This window comes from Homo sapiens, chromosome 2 (genome assembly GCF_000001405.40).
Source record: "Homo sapiens chromosome 2, GRCh38.p14 Primary Assembly".
NCBI classification, from domain to species: domain Eukaryota; kingdom Metazoa; phylum Chordata; class Mammalia; order Primates; family Hominidae; genus Homo; species Homo sapiens.
In genome coordinates, this window is record NC_000002.12 from 16,195,275 (window position 1) to 16,217,067 (window position 21,793).

General features: G+C 46.0%; 2 long non-coding RNA genes and 1 pseudogene across 3 annotated transcripts, besides 4 other annotated features; 2 read left to right on the forward strand and 1 right to left on the reverse strand.

Annotated features, from left to right (window-relative positions):
• Positions 1,480–2,679: an enhancer, noted in NCBI's record as "P300/CBP strongly-dependent group 1 enhancer chr2:16378022-16379221 (GRCh37/hg19 assembly coordinates)". NCBI's record gives its function as "activates an origin of replication core promoter dependent on BRD2, BRD4, P300/CBP, MED14 and CDK7 cofactors, with strong dependence on P300/CBP, by STARR-seq in HCT116 cells {active_cell/tissue: HCT116}" and the evidence as "EXISTENCE:reporter gene assay evidence [ECO:0000049][PMID:35650434]".
• Positions 3,929–4,021, forward strand: LOC124900535 (uncharacterized; annotated as a pseudogene).
• A 2,250-nt stretch (positions 4,022–6,271) lies between these two features.
• On the reverse strand, positions 6,272–9,680 carry LOC105373443 (uncharacterized). Of its 2 annotated transcripts, XR_939751.2 has the most exons (3): positions 9,511–9,680; positions 9,124–9,223; positions 6,272–6,492 (listed from the first exon to the last, which is right to left on the reverse strand). It is a non-coding gene; the product is annotated as an uncharacterized LOC105373443 (long non-coding RNA). The 2 variants fall into 2 exon arrangements; XR_001739183.1 differs by having other exon boundaries at positions 9,124–9,680.
• Positions 6,639–7,140: an enhancer, noted in NCBI's record as "H3K4me1 hESC enhancer chr2:16383181-16383682 (GRCh37/hg19 assembly coordinates)". NCBI's record gives its function as "activates a minimal SCP1, AML or CMV promoter by ChIP-STARR-seq in naive H9 embryonic stem cells {active_cell/tissue: H9 hESC(naive)}" and the evidence as "EXISTENCE:reporter gene assay evidence [ECO:0000049][PMID:30033119]".
• Positions 7,036–8,952, forward strand: LOC124908049 (uncharacterized). Its single transcript, XR_007088649.1, has 2 exons — positions 7,036–7,323; positions 8,427–8,952. It is a non-coding gene; the product is annotated as an uncharacterized LOC124908049 (long non-coding RNA).
• Positions 7,909–8,528: an enhancer, noted in NCBI's record as "H3K4me1 hESC enhancer chr2:16384451-16385070 (GRCh37/hg19 assembly coordinates)". NCBI's record gives its function as "activates a minimal SCP1, AML or CMV promoter by ChIP-STARR-seq in naive H9 embryonic stem cells {active_cell/tissue: H9 hESC(naive)}" and the evidence as "EXISTENCE:reporter gene assay evidence [ECO:0000049][PMID:30033119]".
• Positions 20,621–21,122: an enhancer, noted in NCBI's record as "H3K27ac hESC enhancer chr2:16397163-16397664 (GRCh37/hg19 assembly coordinates)". NCBI's record gives its function as "activates a minimal SCP1, AML or CMV promoter by ChIP-STARR-seq in primed H9 embryonic stem cells {active_cell/tissue: H9 hESC(primed)}" and the evidence as "EXISTENCE:reporter gene assay evidence [ECO:0000049][PMID:30033119]".

Here is a 21,793-nt window from a genome sequence, read left to right on the forward strand (position 1 = left end):
GTTGCTTTAAAAGTTGTACAGAACAGAGAATGAAAGTGCCCTCTTCACTGGACTTACCTGCATCTCCCACTGCCTAGCACAACTTTTGGCCCCGAGGGTACAAATAATGGACAGCATATGGCTGCTTTCCTCATGGAGCCCATATAGAGTCCAGGGGACAAGAGATGAAACCTACAATGACAGCATAACACGATACACTCAGGAAGTATGGAGGCACAGAATGGGGTGGCCCCAACCAAGATTCAGGATGAGAAAAGGCTTTCTGAAGAAGAGACTGTTGGAGAAACAGCCAAGGCTGAGATGTGCAAAGAAAGTATGGTGCATCTGGGAATAGTGAGCAGTTGAAGGGCCTTAGGCATTGTGCAAAGAGTCTGGAAGGGCAGCCACTGAAGGGTCAGGTGTTTCTTTCAGAAGCATTGACCTGGCATCCTTCTGAAGAGGATGTGTTGGGGGGTGCCAGAGACTGCCCTGGGCCCCAGTTGGAGTTCTCCTGTGGGATCCTAACAGTGATGACATCTTACATTTGTGCCTACTCCCACTCGCCCATGTACACACAGGCGGGCATCTGATGGGATCCCCATAACACCTTGTGTGCCAGAACTGTGGTCCGTGTTTTGCAGATGAGGGAACTGAGACTTGAAGAAATGAAGGAACACGCACAAGAGAACACACGGGAAGTAAGGAACCACACTGACATGCTCTCCGCAGGCCTGCTTGACTGCATAGCCCCTCTTCTTCCCAGCTGCCCTCTGCCCTTCCCCTGGTAGGTGGTGGAGACTGCCAGTTACACCCAGGGCTGATTGTCCTTAATTCATAAACGGTCCCTCCCACCCAGCCTTCTGATCTGCCATTTGTAGGATTTTGTTTCACTAGAAAATACCTTGGCACACAGGAAATGCTCAAAAAGTATTTGTGGAGTGAAGGAAGGATGGAATCTGAGCTGCACAGATTACTGTGCATTGGGTCCCTTCTGTCATTCCGGGGTATGGATTTAGCAAGGGGGCTGGTCAGAGTGAGGCCTTGATTTTAAAGGGTGCAGTTGTACTTTGTTTATTTTATTTTATTTTTTTTGAGGTGGAGTCTCACTCTGTCGCCTAGGCTGGAGTGCAGTGGTGCGATCTTCGCTCACTGCAACCTCCGCCTCCTGGGTTCAAACGATTCTCCTGCCTCAGCCTCCCAAATAACTGGGACTACAGGTGTGTGCCACCATGCCAGGCTAATTTTTTGTATTTTTAGTAGAAATGGGGTTTCACCGTGTTAGCCAGGATGGTCTTGATCTCCTGACCTCATGACCTGCCCGCCTCAGCTTCCCAAAGTGCTGGGATTACAGGTGTGAGCCACTGCACCCAGCCTTTGTTTATTTTTTAATTAAACTTTTCAATGTTGAGATAATTGTTGATTCACACCATGGGTTCAAATCCCCATTCCACCACCTGCGTGCTGGGGAGATCTTGGGTGTGTGGCTTAAATTCTGTTCTGTCACCTGGGGAAACAGGGATCTGAATGGTGTCTACAGCATCAGGCTATCCCCAGCCAGAGTCCTTGTCACCTATGGGCTGCCCCAGGAATACCCTAATAAACATGGTTATCAGCCTTGTGCCTTTCAACCCCATCGCCTCTGACGCAGAGGCCCTGCCGGGAAACAGCACAGTGCAGAGGTCATGGAGCTTGGATCTGAACAATCTGAGTAGGAAGTGGATTCTGCCCTGTATTCGCTGGGCGACCTTGGTCTTTCTGAACTTCCATCAAACGGTGTAACAGAGCCTTCCCTGAGGGTTGCTGTGAGAATGAAGAGCGGATGTATGTTATGTACCTTCTGGGTTGTAGGAGTGGCACAAATGAGCGATGCCCGTTCACCTCTATCCTCTTTCTGGAGCTGGCTTTCCCACTACTCCTTTCTCCTCACAGCCCTGCCGGTGCCCAGCCACCCTTCTCTGTTCTTCGCTGGTTAATCCATAAGGTGGTAATGACTGACAATGGCTTTTGCATTTTAATAAGGGGCTTCATGCCTTACTCCAAAAAGAGGGCCAAATTATCATTTTTGGCACCTGAGTCACTAAGGGAGAGGTTTGTTTGTGCGTGTGGGAGGGCAGGAACCCGGGACACCTCACTGTGTGGGTGCATCAGCTACCCCACCCATGCCAGGGCCTCCACTGGTTCACATTACACATTTTTTTGCCAGTGAGAAACCAAGGCTCGGGTTACCCCTTCCCATGCTGCCAGGGCCCCTTGTTCAGTGCATAACCTGCTCAGCTGTCCAAGGCCAACCTGCAGCTGTGTCCAGGCCGCATCTGGCTCTGGGGTCCCCGTTATCTCCCTGTCGCCCCCACCACTTCCCCACTCATGAGCAGTAGACTCCTGAGGCCCTGCAGACTGGCCACGGCTGCTACTGGAACGGCTGCTTCCTTCCGGGCCCAGCCAGTCACCCTGCTGGAGATGAGTGGCCTCCAAGCCCCATAAAACTTGCTGCTGATCTCTTGGTTCCAGTGACTTTCCTCCTGTAGCCTCAGGACTTTCTGGAGCTCATTTGTCTAAAGAAAGAAGGGCAGGCTTTGTCCCTCCTGGGCTTATTCTCACCGAGTACTCAGCCCACCTTTCCAGCAGCTGCCATCAAGGCTGTGGTGTGAATAGGCCTCCTCTTTCCCCCTCCCTCGTAGGGAGGGCTGGGAGCAGCTCACCCACACAGGGATGGTGGCAGAGTCTCAGCCAGCCATTGAGTGACACTGGGCACTTGTTGAGGGCCTCCCCATTCTGTCTGCCTGTCTCATATGGCTGTAAGAGGGAGTCAGGGAAGTTGCTAGGTAGTGAATGCTTTATCATTTCTAAAGTCTAGTGTAATAGTCAGTACCAATAATTACCTCAAAATCCAGACACTTAGGCATTTCTCCTTTAGAAGAGCTACTGAAATAACAGCCCCAATTAATAATATTTCTAATTATGAATTATTAACGATGGATGTGATTGCCAGCATTTGTTTTCCAGAAGGCCGGAATGAGCTTGCTGTCAGAAGAGACTGCAACACTTGACTTTAAATTCTTAAGAACTGAAGATTGTGTCTCCTTGGACATATGTAGTCTTGTGTGGCCCCAGTGTTGGTCTAACAGGCCTCAGAGGACTCCCTCTCACCTTCTGGCTAAATCCTTCACTTAGGATTGATATCTATTCTCAAGAAAAAAAACAGACCCATTTTTTCATCAAGAATAATGATTTTGTAGGGCAGTTTCCTTTTGCAAACAGTATTATGAACCATGTTTTCCAGTAATGACTATCTTTCTCTTGAAGGCACTGAAGGAGGAATCAGTCAGGCACACGTTTACCATCGCCCGCTGGCCTGGCCTCTCTCGGAGACCTGAATTAGATTTGAGTGATGTTTGTTGTGTGCCAGGCCTCTGCTAGGCTCCGTGGAAGATATGGAAATAGATCATGACAGTTCTTGCCTTTGGGGAGTTCGCTGTCTAGTAAGGGACACAGAATGTATCCGGAAATGGTTATAACAGAATTAAAAAGCACTTTGAGAGCAGGGGCTGGGGTAATGGGGGAGGCATGGATGGTTGATTATTTTTAATTAGAAGGTTTGGAAAATTCTTCCTAGGAGAAGAGGCACTGGAGATGGGCCTTGGAGAATGTGAGGATTTTAGGAATTGGACAGGGTGAAGTGAGTATGAAGGAAATTTCAAGAAAAGGAAGGTACTAGCAAGATGTAGACTGGGCAAGGCCAAGGCATATTTGGTGAATGGTAGGCCTTCAGGGATGGCTGGTGGGTCGGGCCTTTGGGAGACTATGGGGTCAGGCGGCATGAAATGAAAACATACTGTGTCCAGGCTAGGAGGGTCTTGAGGGTGTGGAATGAATCCACCCGCTCACACCTTCCTCGTGTTCCAGGTGCTGTTCCATGCACTGAGGATTCCAAAGAGAAATAATCCACAACCAGACTTACAGATAAGTTCGAGAAATAAACCCTGTTTTGCAACCCAGAGCACATTGTTCAGTATGAGTTTCGATACATATAAGAATAAATATTATGATACCAAAAAAAAAATAAAATAAAATAAAGAAAGAAATAATTCACAGCTAGGTGTGGTGGTTCATGCCTGTAATCCCAGCACTTTGGGAAGCCGAGGCGGGTGGATCACTTGAGGTCAGGAGTTCAAGACCAGCCTGGCCAACAGGGTGAAATCTCATCTCTACCAAAAGTACAAAAATTAGCCAGGCGTGGTGGCACACACCTGTAATCCCAGCTACTTGGGAGGCTGAGTCAGAAGAATCGCTTGAACCTGGGAGGCAGAGGTTGCAGTGAGCAGAGATTGCACCACTGTACACCAGCCTAGGTGACAGAGCCAGACTCCATCTCAAAAAAAAAAAAAAAATCACAATCCTGTCCTCAAAGAGCCTACAGTTTATTGTGGCACATAAAACACTAAAGAATTGTAAGGATGTGACAGGATCAATCCTATCTATGATGGACATAAGGTCAGAGGAGGTCGTAAGATATAAGGTCAACTACTCTGACCTGGGAAAGAGAGTTGGGGGAAGCTGTACAGAAAAAAAGACCACATTTGGCTTGAGTCTTGAACTGCTATCAAGCAGTTCAATTGAGTTTTCCTTGAATTTAATCCAGAAGTTAGTCCAGTAGTTCTCAACTGAGGGTAATTTTGCCCCCTGGAAACATTTATCAATGTCAGGGGACATTTTTGATCATCGTGACTTGGTGGTGAGGGTGGTGCTACTAGTGTCTCATGGATGGAGGCCAGGGATGCTGCTGTACCTCCTAAAATGCACAGGGCAGCCCGCACGGCATGGAAGGATCTGGCCCAAAAGTCAATCGCGCTGAGATTGAGAAACCTTGTGTTGAAGTACATGTCAAACTCCACCACGTTGGGAACTGGGAGATGGTCGAGTAGCCAACAGCTTCCTGTGGCTTTGGGCAGGTCCCAGCTGTTTCTGGTGGGCCTCATGCTATGGACTGAATGTGCCCCCTCAGAATTCATGTTGAAGCCCTAAACCTCTGTGTAATAGTATTTGGAGGTGGGGCCTTTGGAAGAAATTAGGGTTAGATTAGGTCATGATGGGACTAATGGCCTTATAAAAAGAGAAAGAGGTGCAAGATATCTCCCTCCCTCCCTGCCCCCGCCACCATCCCCGCAGCCTTCAGAACCGTAGGGGCTAAATGTCTATGGTTTCTGCCCTTCAGTCTACAGCATTCTGTGATTCTATGATAGCAGAGGGAGCATATTGATTTCCTCTATCTGGTCATGAGTCTGTGAAGCTGGATGTTCTTTTACACTTGTCTCACCTCTCTAGGACATCATGAGAGGGTTGTTCAATGAATGTTCAGCTCACTCATCTTCTGGCAGGGCGTGGTTTTCATCTATCTGCAGAGTTCTGCCTCATACATTTATGGAGTTTCTAGAGGCAGCTTTATAAAGCATGTTGGATGAGGTGTTTTGTTGTTTGTTGGGTATAGTGGATTATTTATATTGCTGGATAACTATGTGACCCAGAGAAAAATATGCAGTATTATGCAATATTAGGATCTCTCTCTCTCACCCCACCCAGCCACATTTTCTTCACACTGTCACTCAGTCCTGGTCACATACAGAAACCACTTTCATGGCTAGAGAGACCCTTCCCCTTGACTCAGCCTCTGACAGCCTCTCACTGCCCATCAGCTCTGGCCTTATCCCCTGGGCCTGACTTTCCCGGCCCTCCACAGCCTAACTCCAGGGACAGCTCTGCCTCATCTGGATGCCTCCTTCCCTCAGGCCGTGCCAGAGACTTGCTTCAGCCACAGCAAAACCACCATTGTTCCCCAAAAGAACACCCCTAGAGGGAAGAGACTGTGCTTAATTGCTCTAAAAGCCCAGTTCAGCAAAGACCCAGTGAATAAATGACAGACAAATGAATGCACACTTTAAAGAGGCTTTTAGAATTCATGAGAGGCCACATGTCGAGGAGGTTGGTGATAGGAAGGCAGTGGCACCCGTGGACAGAAACAGGGGAAAACATTTCCTCCACGAGGCAAAGAGGCCGTCTCTGTGTTGGCAAATTTGAGATGTCACTCTGCAGAGATGGAACCTGACCTCTAGGGATGTCAGTTTAGCATCTCCGTGGTTACTTCTCTGTGATTCCGCTGGCTTTCCAGTGTGGTTGGGAGATGGCTGCGTAGCTTCAAGCTCCACACCCACACAGCTTCACTGAACAGCAGGAGGGTGTGTATCAGTGAGCTGCTGTCATGAAAGCACTGAGTAACAAACCACCCCAAACTCAGTGACCTATAACAAATGCAACAGACCATTTATTTTTCTTTCTCTGCAGTCTACCTGTGGGTCAGCCAGGACTGTTCTGCTTCAGGCTGAGGCGAGGCTGAGCTCGTCTCTGAGGCTTCAGGTAGGTTCAGGTCTGTTCCGCAGTCATCCTAATTTTCTTGTACTCACCAGCAACCCAGCATGTTGATTGCATGACAGATTCAGGGAGCAAATGGTAAGACCAAGCCTGTGAGAACATCGAAAGTCTGTTTCATGTCTGCTCACATGCTATTGGCCAAGCAAGGCATCTGCCCATGTCTGGGCAGATGCCTTGCTTGGCCAATAGGACATGATGGTGGGCTGGCATGTGCATCATACCCTGAGGGGAGGGGAGGGGAATAGGAGCATCAATACTCTCTGAACAATCATCTCATCTATCACCGGGGTAGGATGTGTTCCTGAAACCCTCGGCCAGAGTTCCCCAGGGAAACTTACGTCATACTGACTAGAACCGAGTCTCGTGCCCAGCCCCAAACCAATCACTGGCAAAGAAGGATGGGCTCACTGTGAGGGATTAGACCAATTGTCATTTGGCCCTGGGCCAGGACCCTCTTCCTGTGAACACTGAATGGAGTTGGGCTCCTGTCAGCAAGGCATTGGCAGGGAATGACTATCGAGTAAGCAACCAATGTATGCCCCAGCCGCCAGCTCTGATCAGGGTGAGGTCACTTTTCCTCTTTGGGCCCAGAGTAGCATGGAAAAGTCTCTGTGGGCCTTGCAGGGTGTTGGAAGTGTGCCCACACAAGTCTTTCCAGGTGCCACTCGCTGAAATACCTTCACTCGCTCCGTCCCCAAGAGGCAGACCAGCCAGTGCACTCCCACCTCAGACGCTGGCTCACCAGGCAGCTCCTTCTGTGGGTGTGTCTGTCCTTACAGGATCCCTGGAGCAAAGGTTGCCCTCGCCAGGCACTGGCTGGCAGCTCCACGGCACAGGTGTCACATCAGGCCTGCTGCACTTGCCCCTGCTTGCCCAGGGACTTCCCTTCTAACAACGAGATCTGACAGCATCTCTAAGTTGGTAAGAACCTGGATGGCTAAACAGCCTTGGATTATTCTACCCTCAGCCTGCCTCTCTGGGCTTCAGATTGTTCATTAGAAATATTCTGGGAGATGATAGGAATTCTCACACAATTTCCCTTGCAGGAAAGTGGATTTTCTCATGGCAATGGCTATCTTGGGGGAGTAGGGGCATAAGCATTCAGCCCCTCCCGAGCAGCCAGGCTGTTTCTGGGCATCCCTCTCCATATCTGGTCCCTGAAGCTCTGGGATCCTCCTGTGAAGGCCTGGGCAGAGCATCCAAGGCAGGCAGGGGCCTTGGATTCTAACCCTAGCAAGGCCTGGACATTGCTGTGTGAAGAGGCTTTGTAGGGCCTGAAGCTTTTGCATTTGGGGAGTTTTTTCTTAAAAAAGAAAAAAAAAGGTAGAACATAATTTATAAATGCCCAACTAGGTAAGAGCTGTGCTGGTTAATTGTATGTGTCAACTTGGCTGGGCCACAGTGCCCAGATATTTGGTCAACCATTATTCTGGCTTTTCCTGTGAAGGTGTTTTGTGAATGAGATTAACATTTAAATTGGTGAACTCTGAGTAATGCAGATTGCCCTCCATAATGTGGGTGGACCTCACCCAATTAGCTGAAGGCCTGGCCACTCCCGAGGAGGAAGAAGCTCTGCCAGCAGGCAGCCTTCAGACTTGAACTGCAACTCTTCTGTGGGTCTCCAGCCTGCTGCCACACCCTGCGGAGTTTGTACTCCCAAGCCTCCACAGTCATATGGGCCAGTTGCTTAAAATCTCTTTCTGTCTGTCTCTTTTTCTCTATGTCTCTCTCTTTCTCCCTGTCTGTCTCTTTTTCTCTGTCCCTCTGCCTCCTTCTCTTTCTCTCTGTGTCTCTGTCTCTCTTTCTCTCTCCATCTTTATCTCTCTCCCTCTCTCCATCTCTGTCTTTCTGTATGGTCATCTCTCTCTGTGCTCTGTGTGTGTCTCTCTCTCTGTTTCTCTGCCTCTCTCTCCATCTCTCTTTTTCTCCCTCACTCTCTGATAATCTCTCTCTCTCTTTTTCTCTCTGTCTCTCTCTCTCTTTTTCTCTGCACGCACACGCATCTTGTTGCATCTGTTTCACAGAAGAATGCTGCCTGACACAGGGCCTTGGAAAGACCCCACGCTATCAGAGGCCCGATGCCCAAGGTCCATTAACTTCTCTGTGGAATCATCCCTGGGAGCCGGGGTGCGCTCCCGATGCTGGTCCTCCACAGTCCCTCTCTAAGATGGTGAGGGTCTGCCCCGAGCTTGGCCTTGGTGCTGAGACCCTACACACAGACTGCAGGTCCCTGAGCACTCCCAGATAGTCAAGCATCAGGGTCCCCAGCCCTGCCTCTGGCCATCCCCCCACCTGCAGCCCATGCACACGAGGTGAAGAAGCAGCAAGAGGCACACAGAGGGCCACCTTCTCACACCAGGATCCTTCAGCGGCTCAAGAACCCAAAGTCACCCCAGACCCCAGGCCTGGCCATCTTTCCCTTTCCCTCAGCTGAGTTCTGATCAGCTTGCTCCTTTCCAAGTACCATTACCTGCCACTTATGGGCTGCAAAAAGAAATATATGGCAGTTCATAGATTTTCAGACATAATAAAACACGCTTGTCAAGGCCAGATTGTTGTCTGCTTGTCACTGCTAATGAGAATGTACCTCCTCTGGAGGCATTTTGAAGGGGTCGGAGCCCTGGCATGGAGCTGGGGAGCTGGGTGCTGGTTGCAGGGGAGCCACTAACTGGTCAGTGGCCTTGGTCAGTCCCATCTCCCAGGTGGCTCTCCACTGAGTACCTGGGCTTTGCTGGATGATCCATGGTCCTTGCAGTTGTGCCATCCACTGGATAGACTTTGCAACTTGCTCTGCTGCCCCCATGTGCTTGGTGACCTGGCCCTTTTGAGAAGACAGTGGGGATGGGGAAGACTTTGGGCATTGAATTGGGAACTCATTTTGTCTTGGGTGGATTCACCAAGAGGTCAAACACACTGGACAAGCAAACAAACAAGCAAATGAATAAATGCACTAATTTGAATTTTTTACAAGCACTGCTCCTGTGCTTTGGGGTGTGAGTTGATGTGTGCACACGTAGAAGCGGGGGTGGAAAGGAAGTGACCCTTGCTTGGTTTAGTTGCATTATGCAGGGACCCCTTTGGGCAATCCTCCGCAAGCAGCCAGCTTACGGGATGCGGGAGAGGGTCATTGGGCCTTCATCATCAGAGGAAGAATTCCTCCGTCTGGCTGAAGAGGAGACAGTGCATGAAAAATGGTGGCAAGGGGTCAGGAGGGGAAGGCAAGTGAGAAAACACTTTCATCTATTATCCCGGGGTCAATGGGCTCCCTCCCATCAGGGAACCTTGGGGCCGATGAATGGCCCATTGCAGGAGGTGCGGCATTGTGTAGACCGGGAGCCCACGTCACAATCCCCCAGCTCAGGACAATAGTGCCTAAGAAAGTGGTGGGTGGCTCGCCTCCCAGGAGCTGCTTCTTCTTATCAAAGGGCTTTTACCAGGAACGCCCCAGCCTGCTTAGGAAGGAGGGAGAGCTGTTTGTCCAATAATGCGAAGGCATTTCAGACTCATTCCAAATTCTCCGTCATGGCGATTAGGTTGGCCCGTATTGAATTTCCTCCAGAACCAGTGTAGGTTTCTCAGCTGTTGCCGCTCCCTAAAAGCCACACATATTCTTTGAGTTGTGTAATTTTTGTTTGAAGAACAACACATTCCTATTTAAAAAGAAGTCCAAATCCTTATGCTGAAAAAAAGACATGCATTCCCTCCAAAGAAGATGCCTGGAGGGCCACATATGTCCAGGCTGCAGTGGGTATGCAGCACAGGAGCTGGCTCCTGGTTTGGGCAAAACCATGGTCTTACCTTCTTCCTGGCACCTCCTTATCAATAACCCATAATTACATGTTTTAAAATATCCTGCAAATTAGTTGTGAGTCTGGCATTGTGACTACCCTTATTGAGTTGGGGTTGGTTTGCTTTCAGGGTTTCCAGAAATATGTCACCCAAATAGAGAGAATGTGATATCCTGGTTGTACCTGATGTTCTCTGCTACCCTAAGCTTTAGAAGTGGGCAGTGGCCAGAGATGTGATTTTGTGGTGTTGTTTTCACATCTGGCATGGGGCCTTGAATCTCAGATCTCAAAATGAGCCTGCCTGGCACAAAGCAACCCTCGATTTCAGATCCAGAACTAATACTTGCATAGAGACCCCCTGGGCTGCAAGGCTTTTCTGGTGAGCAAAACTGACTGTCCACAGGCAGGGATTTTGGGAGAACTGGTCCTTAGGGCCCCAGACCTTGTAAATGGCTTTCCTGCATTTTCAGTTGGCAATTTACTTAGGAAGTCAGTTGAGTGGCAGGCCCTGCACAAGGAGCTGAAAAAACAAAAAGAAAGAGGAGGTGGTCTCTGCCCGTGTTGGGGACAAATTAATAGATAGATGAATGCAAACATCTGTGGTTAGCATTATGAAAGAGCTACACATGAGGTACATACGCTACACTGTAAGCACTTGAAGCAACAACAACAGTGATTTATTTCTAGAGTATGGTAGAGTCTATGGTAGAGTACTTGGTTGAATAGTGCCATCCTAAATTCATGTCCACCCAGAACATCAGAATGTGACCTTATTTGGAAATAGGGTTGTTGCAGGTGTAATTTGTTAGATAGGGTCACCCTAGACTAGGGTGGGCCCTAAGTCCAACCACCGTGGTCCTCATAAGAAGGCCATGTGAAGACAGAGGCAGGGGTTGGAGTGATGTAGTTGCAAGCTGAGGATTGCTGGCCACCACCACAGGGGAGATGCAGGGAGCAGATTCTCCCTTGAAGCCTCCGGAAGGTACAGACCCTCAGGACGCCCTGTTTTCTGACTTCTGGCCTCCTGAACTGTGAGAGAATAAGTGTCTGTTGTTTTCAGCCATCATGTTTGTGGTCATTTGTTACAGCAATCCTAGGAAACTAATACACATGGTGTGTTGTCAATTACATTTCACTGGCAGCACTGAATGAGAGTTTCCACAGTTGGATGGAGTGGGAGCTGGGTTATGGGCTAACCATGGAGACATTTGGAGCTGGGGACCACAGGTAAAGGAGGAAATGGGAACAGAGAAGAATGAAAGCACACAGAATCTTCTGCCCTGTGGGTGGCATATGCCAGGAATGAAGAGGGCACGTGGGAGTGTGGGAAGGTGGGACTGGCCAAGTGAAGAAGGACAGCTCAGAAAGACTTGGTGAGACATACTAAGGAGTTTAGGTTTTATCCTTTCCCTACCTTCCTTCCTATTTTTTTTTTTTTTTTTAAATCAAATCAGTGATCTCTGTCACATAGGCATCCTACAGAATAGCAAAAGTTTCATGGATGTTGCAAGGAAAAACAAAAGTTGCTGGCTCCTCTGTGATACAATATTGCACAGAAAAACTAAACACAAAGAGGTGCCAGATGCCAGTAGTGTGATGTGTATGATTTTAAAAAGAAAATCATTAATAAATAGTATTTCTTAGAGTCATTTATTTACCTTTTCCACAAAATACAAGGCAAGAAAACCCACACACACACACACACAAACAAAAATAGCTTTCTTCGTTGGAAGGAATTTCTGATGCTGCAGATGGATTGTTGTGGTCTTTCTGTCTCCTCTCTTCTCACTGTGCTGTAAACTCCTACATCAGGGACCTTCTCTGATTCAGCAATGCATGGATGAATGGTAGGCACTAGTGTACTGTGGAGTACAGAGGCAACTGGGTAGTGTGGCCACGAAAGACCTTCCATAGGAGAGCGGATCTGAGCTCCAGCAGGATCTAAGAATAGGGTAGATAGAAGAGGGAGAGGAGGGGAATATTCTACCTATGGGAAATGTCATGAACTAAGGCACAGAAACAGTTTGTGTAAGGTGTGTCTAGAAGGAGGAAAGTGTAACTGCCCAATAAGTTCTCCTTATCAACTGCCTAGAGAGAGCCAATTTATCAAGACAAGGGAATTGTCATAGAGAAAGAGTTTAATTCATGCAGAGCTGACTGTACAGGAGACTTGAGTTTTATTATTATTCAAATTAGTCTCCCTGAGAATTTGGGGACTGGAGTTTTTAAGGTTAATTTAGTGGGTATGGGGCTAGTGAGTCGAGAGTGCTGATTGTTTTGCTAGAAGATGAAATCATAGGGAGTCGAAGCTGTCCTCTTGTGCTGAGTTAGTTCCCTGGGTGGGGGCCACAGGACTGGTTGGCAGGTCCAGGTGGGGCCATCTGGTTGTCAGAAATGCAAAATCTTGAAAAGATATCTCAAAAGGCCAGTCTTAGGTTCTTCAAAAGTGATGTTATCTTCAAGAGTAATTGGGAGAAGTTGAAAATCTTATGACCTCCAGAATAAAGGCTGGTGGTTATTTAGAACCTAAGCCCCTCTCATCCTGACTTGGTGGCCTTTAATTAGTTTTACAAGAACAGTTTAGTTTTGGGGAAGGACTATTATTTAAACTATAAACTAAATTTGTTTCAAAGTTAGCTTAGCCCATGCCCAGGATTGAGAAAACACAACCAACCTGTGATGCTAGAGACAAGATGGAGTCAGCCATGTCAGTTTATCTCACTGCCATAATTTCCTCAGCTGTGACTTTTGCAAAGCTGGTTTCAAAAGGAGACATGGCCATGGGAGACAAAATGGGAAGAGTTTATTAGAGCCCTACTGGTGATAGCGACAGGAGGCAGGTAATTTCTTAGGCAGACAGGGCTAGGTCCCCAGTGAAATTCAACCTTCGAGCAAAGGATAATCTAAGCCTGAAACCCAAGCTGTGAGCTCTGGATAAATCCGTGGGCCAGATTGAGAACTCCCATTCCCATTTGGCATGCTGTCTCCAGATTGGTCCTTATCCTTTACCTATTTTACATATACCTACCCTTCCCCAATTTATCCTCTACGCTTTTGTGCCTATTTCTGAATGGTGCTTTTTCAAGCACATCCACAGACCAATCAGCATGCACTTCCCCATTTCAAGTCCATAAAACTCCTAGACTCAGCCTTGTGGCAAGCAACCGACCTTTGGGTCCCCTCTCACTGTCCAGAGCTTTTCTGTTGCTCAATAAATTCTACTTTGCCTTACTCTCTCTCCAGTGTATCCATACCCCATTCTTATCAGTCGTAGGACAAGAACTTGGAACTTGGTGAACTACAGCAGTGAAAGAGCTGCAACACTTAATGTGCAGGCAGGAGACTTAAGAATTCTTCCAATAAAGAATTGAGCCATTGATAGTTTTTGAGCAAGCCAACTTGATTTAATTCAAGTTCTTAAGATGGCAGGACCTGAGAAGTTCAGCTGATGACCAGACTTTGTGGTCTGATGGGAGAGATGTCAAATACCCCAGGGCTCCCTTATGCCATGTTCCCCCATGTCAATTACCTTCTAGGAGAAGCTGGGGCTTGTGTCCTCACATGCTTCTTCCAAAGGGTTTCTCTAACAACCCCACTGGTCAAGATGTCACCAGAACTTGCTGCCACCCATTCTGCAGATATGGTTGTCTGCTTCTTCCCCTGCCCTGTGCCTCGTTCTGGGGTCTCAGAGCAGTTGGGGTGGTGCTAGGCCCTCTGGGACCTGCTCATGTGTGTGCCCTCAGAAATGGAGATGCAGTAGGAATCACTGGGGGTCAGGAGACCTGGGGTACCAATTGTCTCTCCCTGCTTATAGAACCATCTCAAAACTCAGTTGAAAAAAACAGTTCTTTTGATTGCTACTTCTTGCATTGCTGAGAGCTGACTGGGCTCACCTCTGGGTCTACTACAGTCACCATCAGTAGTAACAGGAACCGGAATCACCTGAAGGTTCTGTCACTCACTTGTGTGGTGCCTGAGCTGTAAAGACTCAAACATTGGGAGCTGAAACAGCTGGAGCCACACCATTTTCTCAGGCCCTTCAGGAAGTCTTCTCAGAGCTAAGCCTGTAATGACCAATTTGTCTTTCAGTAAAGCTCAGAGGACAAGTTACCCCCAAGCTAAGGAAGCTGAATTATCAAGGCTCATCATTTGCAAGTCCAAGACATATATTATGGTATAAGTACTGGGCCCCATTCGAGGTTTCTCCTTTCCTACACTCTTTCTTGCACAGGCAGTAGGATCATTGCACTAGAAATTTGGTTATAAGCATGTCACTCCTTAATTTGCTGAAAGTACCATGAAATTTCCTACAAAGCTTAAAAACTCAAATGCCTTTGGGCTATGGAGTCATCACAAAGTTGTGAAGTGGCCACAGTAGGATCACAGGGGTGAGGACTTCATTTAACTAAAGAACACCCTAAAGGCATTCACTTTCTTTTGGATACCAGATGATAATTGCTATGGATCAGATTCAGCCTGCAGGAGGCAGTGGGTTTGTGACCTTGACTTAGAGAGAAAAATATCCAACACATCACCTCTGTATTCAGGATCCACCACCCACAGTTACCCTCTCAAACCTACTGCCCATAACCACACTGCCACCCCTACACTGTAGGGATTATCTAAATTTGTCTGGCAGTATTTGTGCTTCCTTCCTCCTTGATCCCAGTTCTGCTTTCCACTGATTGGAGAGATGTCAGACACACCACTGCTCCCTTGTGCCACGTTCCTCTGTGTCAATAACCCCCAGGAGAAGCTGGGGCACGTGTCCCCAAAGTCTTCTTTCAAAGGATTTCTCTTTCTCCAGGTAGCAGAATCTTACCTGACTGTCATAGTCCAGCTCAGATCTCATCTTCTAGAAACTTCCCTGATCTCCAAGATCCTTATTGTCAGTCTGCATAATGAATTCATCATGGAGCCTTTGGGGTTTCTCTTCTACCATTGTCTTGAAGTATTGGGAAAGTGTGGGTTGTTGTTTTTTGCCTCCCCTCTTCATAACTAGGGTGCAGTGGTATGATCATAGCTTACTGCAACCTCGAACTCTTGGGCCCAAATGATCCTCTCACCTCAGCCTCCCTAGTAGCTGGAACTAGAGGTGTGCATCACCATGCCTGACTAACTTTTAAAATTTTTTGTAGAGATGAGGTTTTGCTATGTTTCCCAGGCTGGTGTCGAACTTTGGCCTCAAGCAATCATCCCACACAACCTCCCAAATTTCTAGGATTAAAGGCATGAGACATCCTGCCTGCCCCTGCAACATAGCTTTATCAGTTGCTTTTTCTAACTGGACTTTGGGTGTGGTGTTATTTTGCTTATATCAAGGGACATCCTTGATGCTACTCTAGCTGTCCTGACACCGGTGGTCTGCAGAGTCCTTTGGCGCTTAATGTGTTTATCTGACTTTGCTCCCTCTCTGGTTGTGTGTGTGTCCTTCTCCTGCCACTCCACTGTAAGCTCCTGGGCCAGGCCCCATGTCTCCTCAGCTGATGGTGTCCTTATAATTTCTTAGCCAGGGCTGAGCACCTTGTAGATGCTCAGTGTTTTCTGATTTGTTGATTTGTTTATGAGCAGGGAAATGTTTGGGTCCGTGCCAAATTGTAATGGGATAGTAATTAGCTTCTGGAAGAGATTCTGATTGTCTCAAGCCCACCAGTCCCTGGGAAGTCTTTGTGGCTTGAGTAGCTGGGTGAATGGTGGGGCTTTGATTAAAAATGAGAGACTGGAGGAAGAACAGGCTTGGTGATGGAGGAAGAGACAATAAAATTTTTTGGTTTAGAAATATGTGAATTTGAGATCACTGTTAGCTGTCCTAGGGGAAAGGTCAAGTGGGCTATTGATATATGAGCCAAAAGCTTAGAAGACTGGCTTGAGCTGGAGAAAGGAATTGGGACTCTGTAGTTGGAAGGCAATTTGCTTTTCAATATTCATTTTCCCATTTTCTTACTAATAAGAATTCCACTCAGATAATAGTTTGCATCCCTCAGGCTCTCTTGCAGCTAGGTGTGGCCGTGTTTTGGCAAATGAAACATAATCACAGGGAATACTCCTGGAAACAGAGCTGGCTCCCTGTGTTTCCCCTTCCTCCATCCTGATGTTTGGAATGTGGCTGTGATGAGCGGTGCTCTGTCAATATTCTTGTATCAGGAGGATGCGGGCTGTAGGGGAGAAAAAGTAATAGCTCGTCTTCACCTATTGCAAGGGTCATGGCTGACATCCCTGTAACAAAAGACAGATTAATAAGAGAAAAGCATAACAAATTTATTTAACTAAAGTTTTAAGTGACATAGGAATCTTCAGGAATGAGGACTCAAAGACCCAGGGAAAACTGGGTAATTTTATGATAAGTCTGATGAAAGAAATGTATAGTTATGGAGAAACATGATTGGACAGAAAAAGGAATAACCTAATGGTAATAAACTGGGTAAACTTCAGCAAGGCCTGTTTGTTTAGACCTTTCCTGTGTCTTTGTATGACATTATTTGCCTCTGGATGTTGGGCAAAACCCCTCTAGAATAAGGGGAGGTATGCCCTACTTTTAGGGGAGGTACTTCAGAGAATTTCTTTATAACTATACTTCAGGGGAGAAAGGCTGGAGAAGGGCAGAGTGACCTTGCTTCTGCGCTTTTCTCAATTGCCAATGTGCCATATTTTGGGGTATTGAGTTCTGAGCCTCTGCAGGGCCATTTCTTAGAGATGGTGAAGGTGGATAACTGAGAAAATCTATCTACTTGATGATTGTGTTACCTCTATACTCGGCTCAGATACTTATACCTGGACTTCTTTCATATGGGAGATGCTTTAGTCTGTCCTCATGCTCCTAATAAAGACATATTTGAGACCAGGTAATTTATAGAGGAAAGAGGTTTAATTGATTTATAGTTCAGCACGACTGGGGAGGCCTTAAGAAACTTACAATTACGATGGAAGGGGAAGCAAACACGTCCTTCTTCACATGGCGGCAGCAAGGAGAAATGCCGAGCAAAAGGGGGTAAAGCCCCTCATAAAACTGCTAGATCTCATGAGAACTCACTATATCACAAGAAGAGCAGCATAGGGGTAACTGCCCCCATGATTCAATTACCTCGACTGGGCCCCTCCCACAATACCTAGGGATTATGGGAACTACAATTCAAGATGAGATTTGGTGGGGCACAGCCAAACCATATCAGGAGAAAAGTAAACTTTTATATTTATATTTTATTTTAAATTTTATTTTCAAAATAACTTACTACTATTCTGTTCTCCACCAGTATAGGTTTGTCATTTTGAGAATGTAATAGAAATGGAATCATATACTATATAACTTTTGAGACCGGCTGCTTTCACTCAGCAAAATTAACATTTAACATTCATACATGTTGCTGTGTCAATCAATAGCTTGCTCCTTTCATTCCTGAGTAGTATTCCATTGCAGGGATGTACAACAGTTTGTTTTTCCATTCAAATGTTGAAGGACATTTGAATTGTTTACAGTTTTTGGCAATTATAAATAGAGCTACTAGAGACATTCAAAGACTTTTGCCTGAATTTGCATTTTTATTTCTCTAGGGTAAGTACCCAGGAATGGGACTGTTGGTTCACATGGTAAGTGTATGTTTAACTTTATAAGAAACTGTGAAACTGTTTTCCAGAGTGCCTGTATCATTTTACACCCCAACTGGCAATGAATGAGAGAACCATTTGCTTTGCCTCCTCATCGGTTTTGATATTGTCAGAATTTTGCATTTTATCCATTCTAGTGGGTATGTATGTTACCTCATCGTGGTTTTAATTTGCATTTCCCTTGTGGCTAATAATGAAGATTATCTTTTCATGTGCTTATTTGCCATCCATATATCTTTAGTGAAATGTCTGTTTAGCTCTTTTGCGCATTTTAAAATTAGATTGTTTTCTTACTTTGAGTTTTGAGAATTTTTTATATAGTCTAAATACAAATCATTTGTTAGATACATGATTTAAAAATATTTTCTCCCAGTCTATTACTTGCCTTTCATTTTTGTAATAGTTTCTGTCACAGAGCAAAACTTTTGTGTGTTTTTTTGTTGTTATTATTTTATTTTATTTCATTTTTTTGAGATAGGTGTCTCTCTGTTTCCCACCCTGGAGTACAGTGGCACGATCTTGGCTCACTGCAACCTCTGCCTCCAAGGTTCAAGCGGTTCTTGTGCCTCAGCTGCCCAAGTAGCTGGGACTACAAGCATGCACCACCACACCTGGCTAATTTTTGTATTTTTAGTAGAGGCAGGGTTTCACCCTGTTGGCCAGGCTGGTCTTGAACTCCTGGCCTCAAGTGATCCACCCACCTCGCCTTTGGGATTACAGGCGTGAGCCACCACACCTGGCTTGCAGAGCAAAAGTTTTTATCTTTGATGAAGTCCAATTTGTCAATTTTTATTTTATGGATCATCCTTTTGATTTTAATGTCTATTGTTTTACTGTTTATAGTTCCCCTGAGCAGATTAATGTCTATTTTTTTCAGGTGCTATTTTTCAGGTCTTTGTGACTCAGAGAAAATCTAATTTTGATTAGACATGGTACCAGCACAGATACAGTATTCGGAGAAATAGAATGAAGTGAGATTGTGACTCACTCAGTTTGGGAAATGGGAAAACCTCAACTGTGGCTTGTGTCTGTAGGTTGCATCTTTTCACCTTGAGGTTTTCAAATGAGGTTTTCCCATTTCCCAAACTGGTATACTTTCTACCTGCTATTCATTGCTCTGTCAGAGAACATCAGCATCAGAAACCCAAAGAGGTGCTAGCAACCTGCACTAGATGAAATGTTCCAGGCTTGATCTTTGCTTTTACATTATCATGCGACAAAAGTTTATTGAGCACCTATTATATGTTAGGTACACCTATACATGTAATGTATTATGCCATGCTGTATAAGGCATCAAAGTCTTTTACATTCTAGAGTATAGTCAGTAAACAAATAAATATTATAGCATGTCCAAGAGTGGTAAGTTTGATTAAGATGGTGACTTTGGGTGATGTGACCACACTTCTCTGGACTGAGTGGTTCAGAGATGGCCTCTCAGCAGGTTTTTTTTTCTCCTTACAGCACTGTCACCTCCTCCAAGTCCCACACTCAGGACTGGCTTTATAAAAGTAAACCAGTAAACCAGTGATGTCCCAGGGCCCTAAGCTCACAAAGGCCTTGTCCTTGGAGAAGAGAACCGTATTTTCCTTAATGCTTTCTTGTTACTGTCTTGAAGTTCTTTCTTTTTGAACAAGGGGCCCCACATTTTCATTTTGTGGCAAAGTAGGGAGCATGTCTTGCCTAGACACTTGTCCAGACAGAAAAACAAACAAAACCAGCAACATCTTTATATACCTTTGTCTATCTTGGTGAACAAATTGTGCCACTTATATTGATTCCACAAAAAATAGATGCTTAAGATGCATCCCCCTCTTCAAAAATTCACTGGACCAAGAGTCCATGTGGAGTTGTTAGGTGGACGCCATGTCTACCATTCTTTACTGCCCCTCTTGCTGCCTCTACAAATCTCTTTTGCTTGGTTAGACTTTACATAACAGAATTGTAAACCTCCAATTCATAAATGCTACAAGTGTTTGTCATTGATGGCAAAGGTGAATTCCGTCACCAGGAGCACATTTAAAGAAGGCTGTATCCAGCAGAGAGTGCTGGTCATTTTACATACAGCCATGCAGTACATAGCGTTGTTTTGGTCCACAGTGGTCCGACTATATGACAGTGGTACCATAAGATTATCACACCGTATTTCAACTTTACCTTTTCTATATTTAGACACATTTAGATACACACAATATTTAGCATTGTGTTATGATTGCCTACAGTATTCAATATAGTTGCATGTTGCACAGGTTTGTGGCCTAGGAACAATGGCTATGCCATATAGTTTAGGTGTGTAGCAATGATATTTACCATCTAGGTTTGTGTAAGTATATTCCATGATATTTGCACAATGATAAAATTGCCTAAGGATGCATATTTCAGAATGTATCCCCATAGTCAACTGATACATAACTGTATTTATTTGCATTTTATCCTCACAAGGGCTCATTTTAGAGATGTGAGAACTACAACTCAGAGAAGCTAAGTTATTTTTTTTTTCATAAACATACAGCTAGTAAGTGAGGACAATTCTTGTGTGCCTTAAGTACCTGGCAGGGTATTCTGATATTGCTGGTTTGAATTTCCGATTTTCTCTGTTGAAGAGGCGTGGGCATTTTATACATCTTTAATCGTCTTTTGGATATCACAAGCAATAGTTTCTGAGAAAGCTATTATTCTCTTCCATATTGATATTTTGAACATCCTTGCTGTATTGCTAAGTGTGATTGTAGGATCAAGAGTTGACCGTCTCCGAGTGGAATATCTGAAGCGGTGCTATCACCCCTTCCAGTGATGGAGAGTCATGTGAAGAAAGCTGTTCATGAAGCTAGGAGTCTCTTTCTCTGCTTATAAAAGAAGGCTTGTAGATTCTTCTGTTTGGGCTCATAACTGCTCTGGAAGAAGGCGGAATCGGGCAGAACTGATGCAGGCCTAGGAATTCTGGGAAGCGGAAGCAGCGGCGTAGGCCCACGCAGTCTGGCCACTCCGCCCTGCCCTTCACCCAGATTCCTCCCTGCTCCCTGGGTGCTTTTGGAGACTAGCTTCCGGAGCCTGACACATGTTCCTTTGTCTGGCCCCAGCTGTTAGAATCTGTCTTCATTCATTAAGCAGGAAGGGAGTTTTCAGAACTGCTTCTGCAGTCTGATGTCATGGGGCAGCCACACTCAAACCTCGGCAACTTCAAATTAGAGATGTCAAAATACGCAATGGAGACCTGACTGAGCACCCTCTAATCCTCGGCCATGGTGCTGGATGCCTCCCCTCCCCGATAATGACTGGTCCTAGGGCCAATCTGCACCGTGGGTGCCATTATCATTTTACAGAAAAGGAAACTGAGGCTCAGAAATGCTGTGAGGCAGCTCATAGCTCTATACTTAGAAAGGCAGGATCTGAGCCCAGGTCGGTGTGACTACAAGGCTGGCTCTCAGAACACCGCACTCACCGTCTTTCCTACCAACAGAGAGCTGCAGCCATCTTTCCTGCTATTAAAAGAAAAATCATAAAAGGGCTTGTCTTTTAGAAAATAACCATGCCGTCTTTGGGGAGAACACAGGTTTCTGTCCCAAAGCCTGGCTCACCTCCCTGCCGGGAAGGGCCTCCACGCTCAGCCCAGGACTCAGGGTATGCACCATATTGTCACCGATAATTGTACAGACCCATTCATCAGCAGGAATCCTATTTCAAACAGCTCTCCGACTCTAACGGCACGAAAAGCGTGAACTAAGCACAGTTTAATTAATTCTGATCTCACAGACAGAGGCTGCCCCATCAGAGACGACGGTGCACAGACACGAGGCAGGAAAAATTTCTCCAGCCTCAGAAGCAGGAGTGCATTCAAATGATCCCTTCATTCCTTCAAGATGGATAATTTGTTTTTTAGTAAATTCATAGGACACGTTTGTTGGAACCGTCACTGGCTCTCATCTTTCTGGGAAGGTGTACCTTTTAACCTAGAGAGCAGAAAAGCCTCTGATCTCGCTCCCTCTGACAGAAAGAAATGAGCC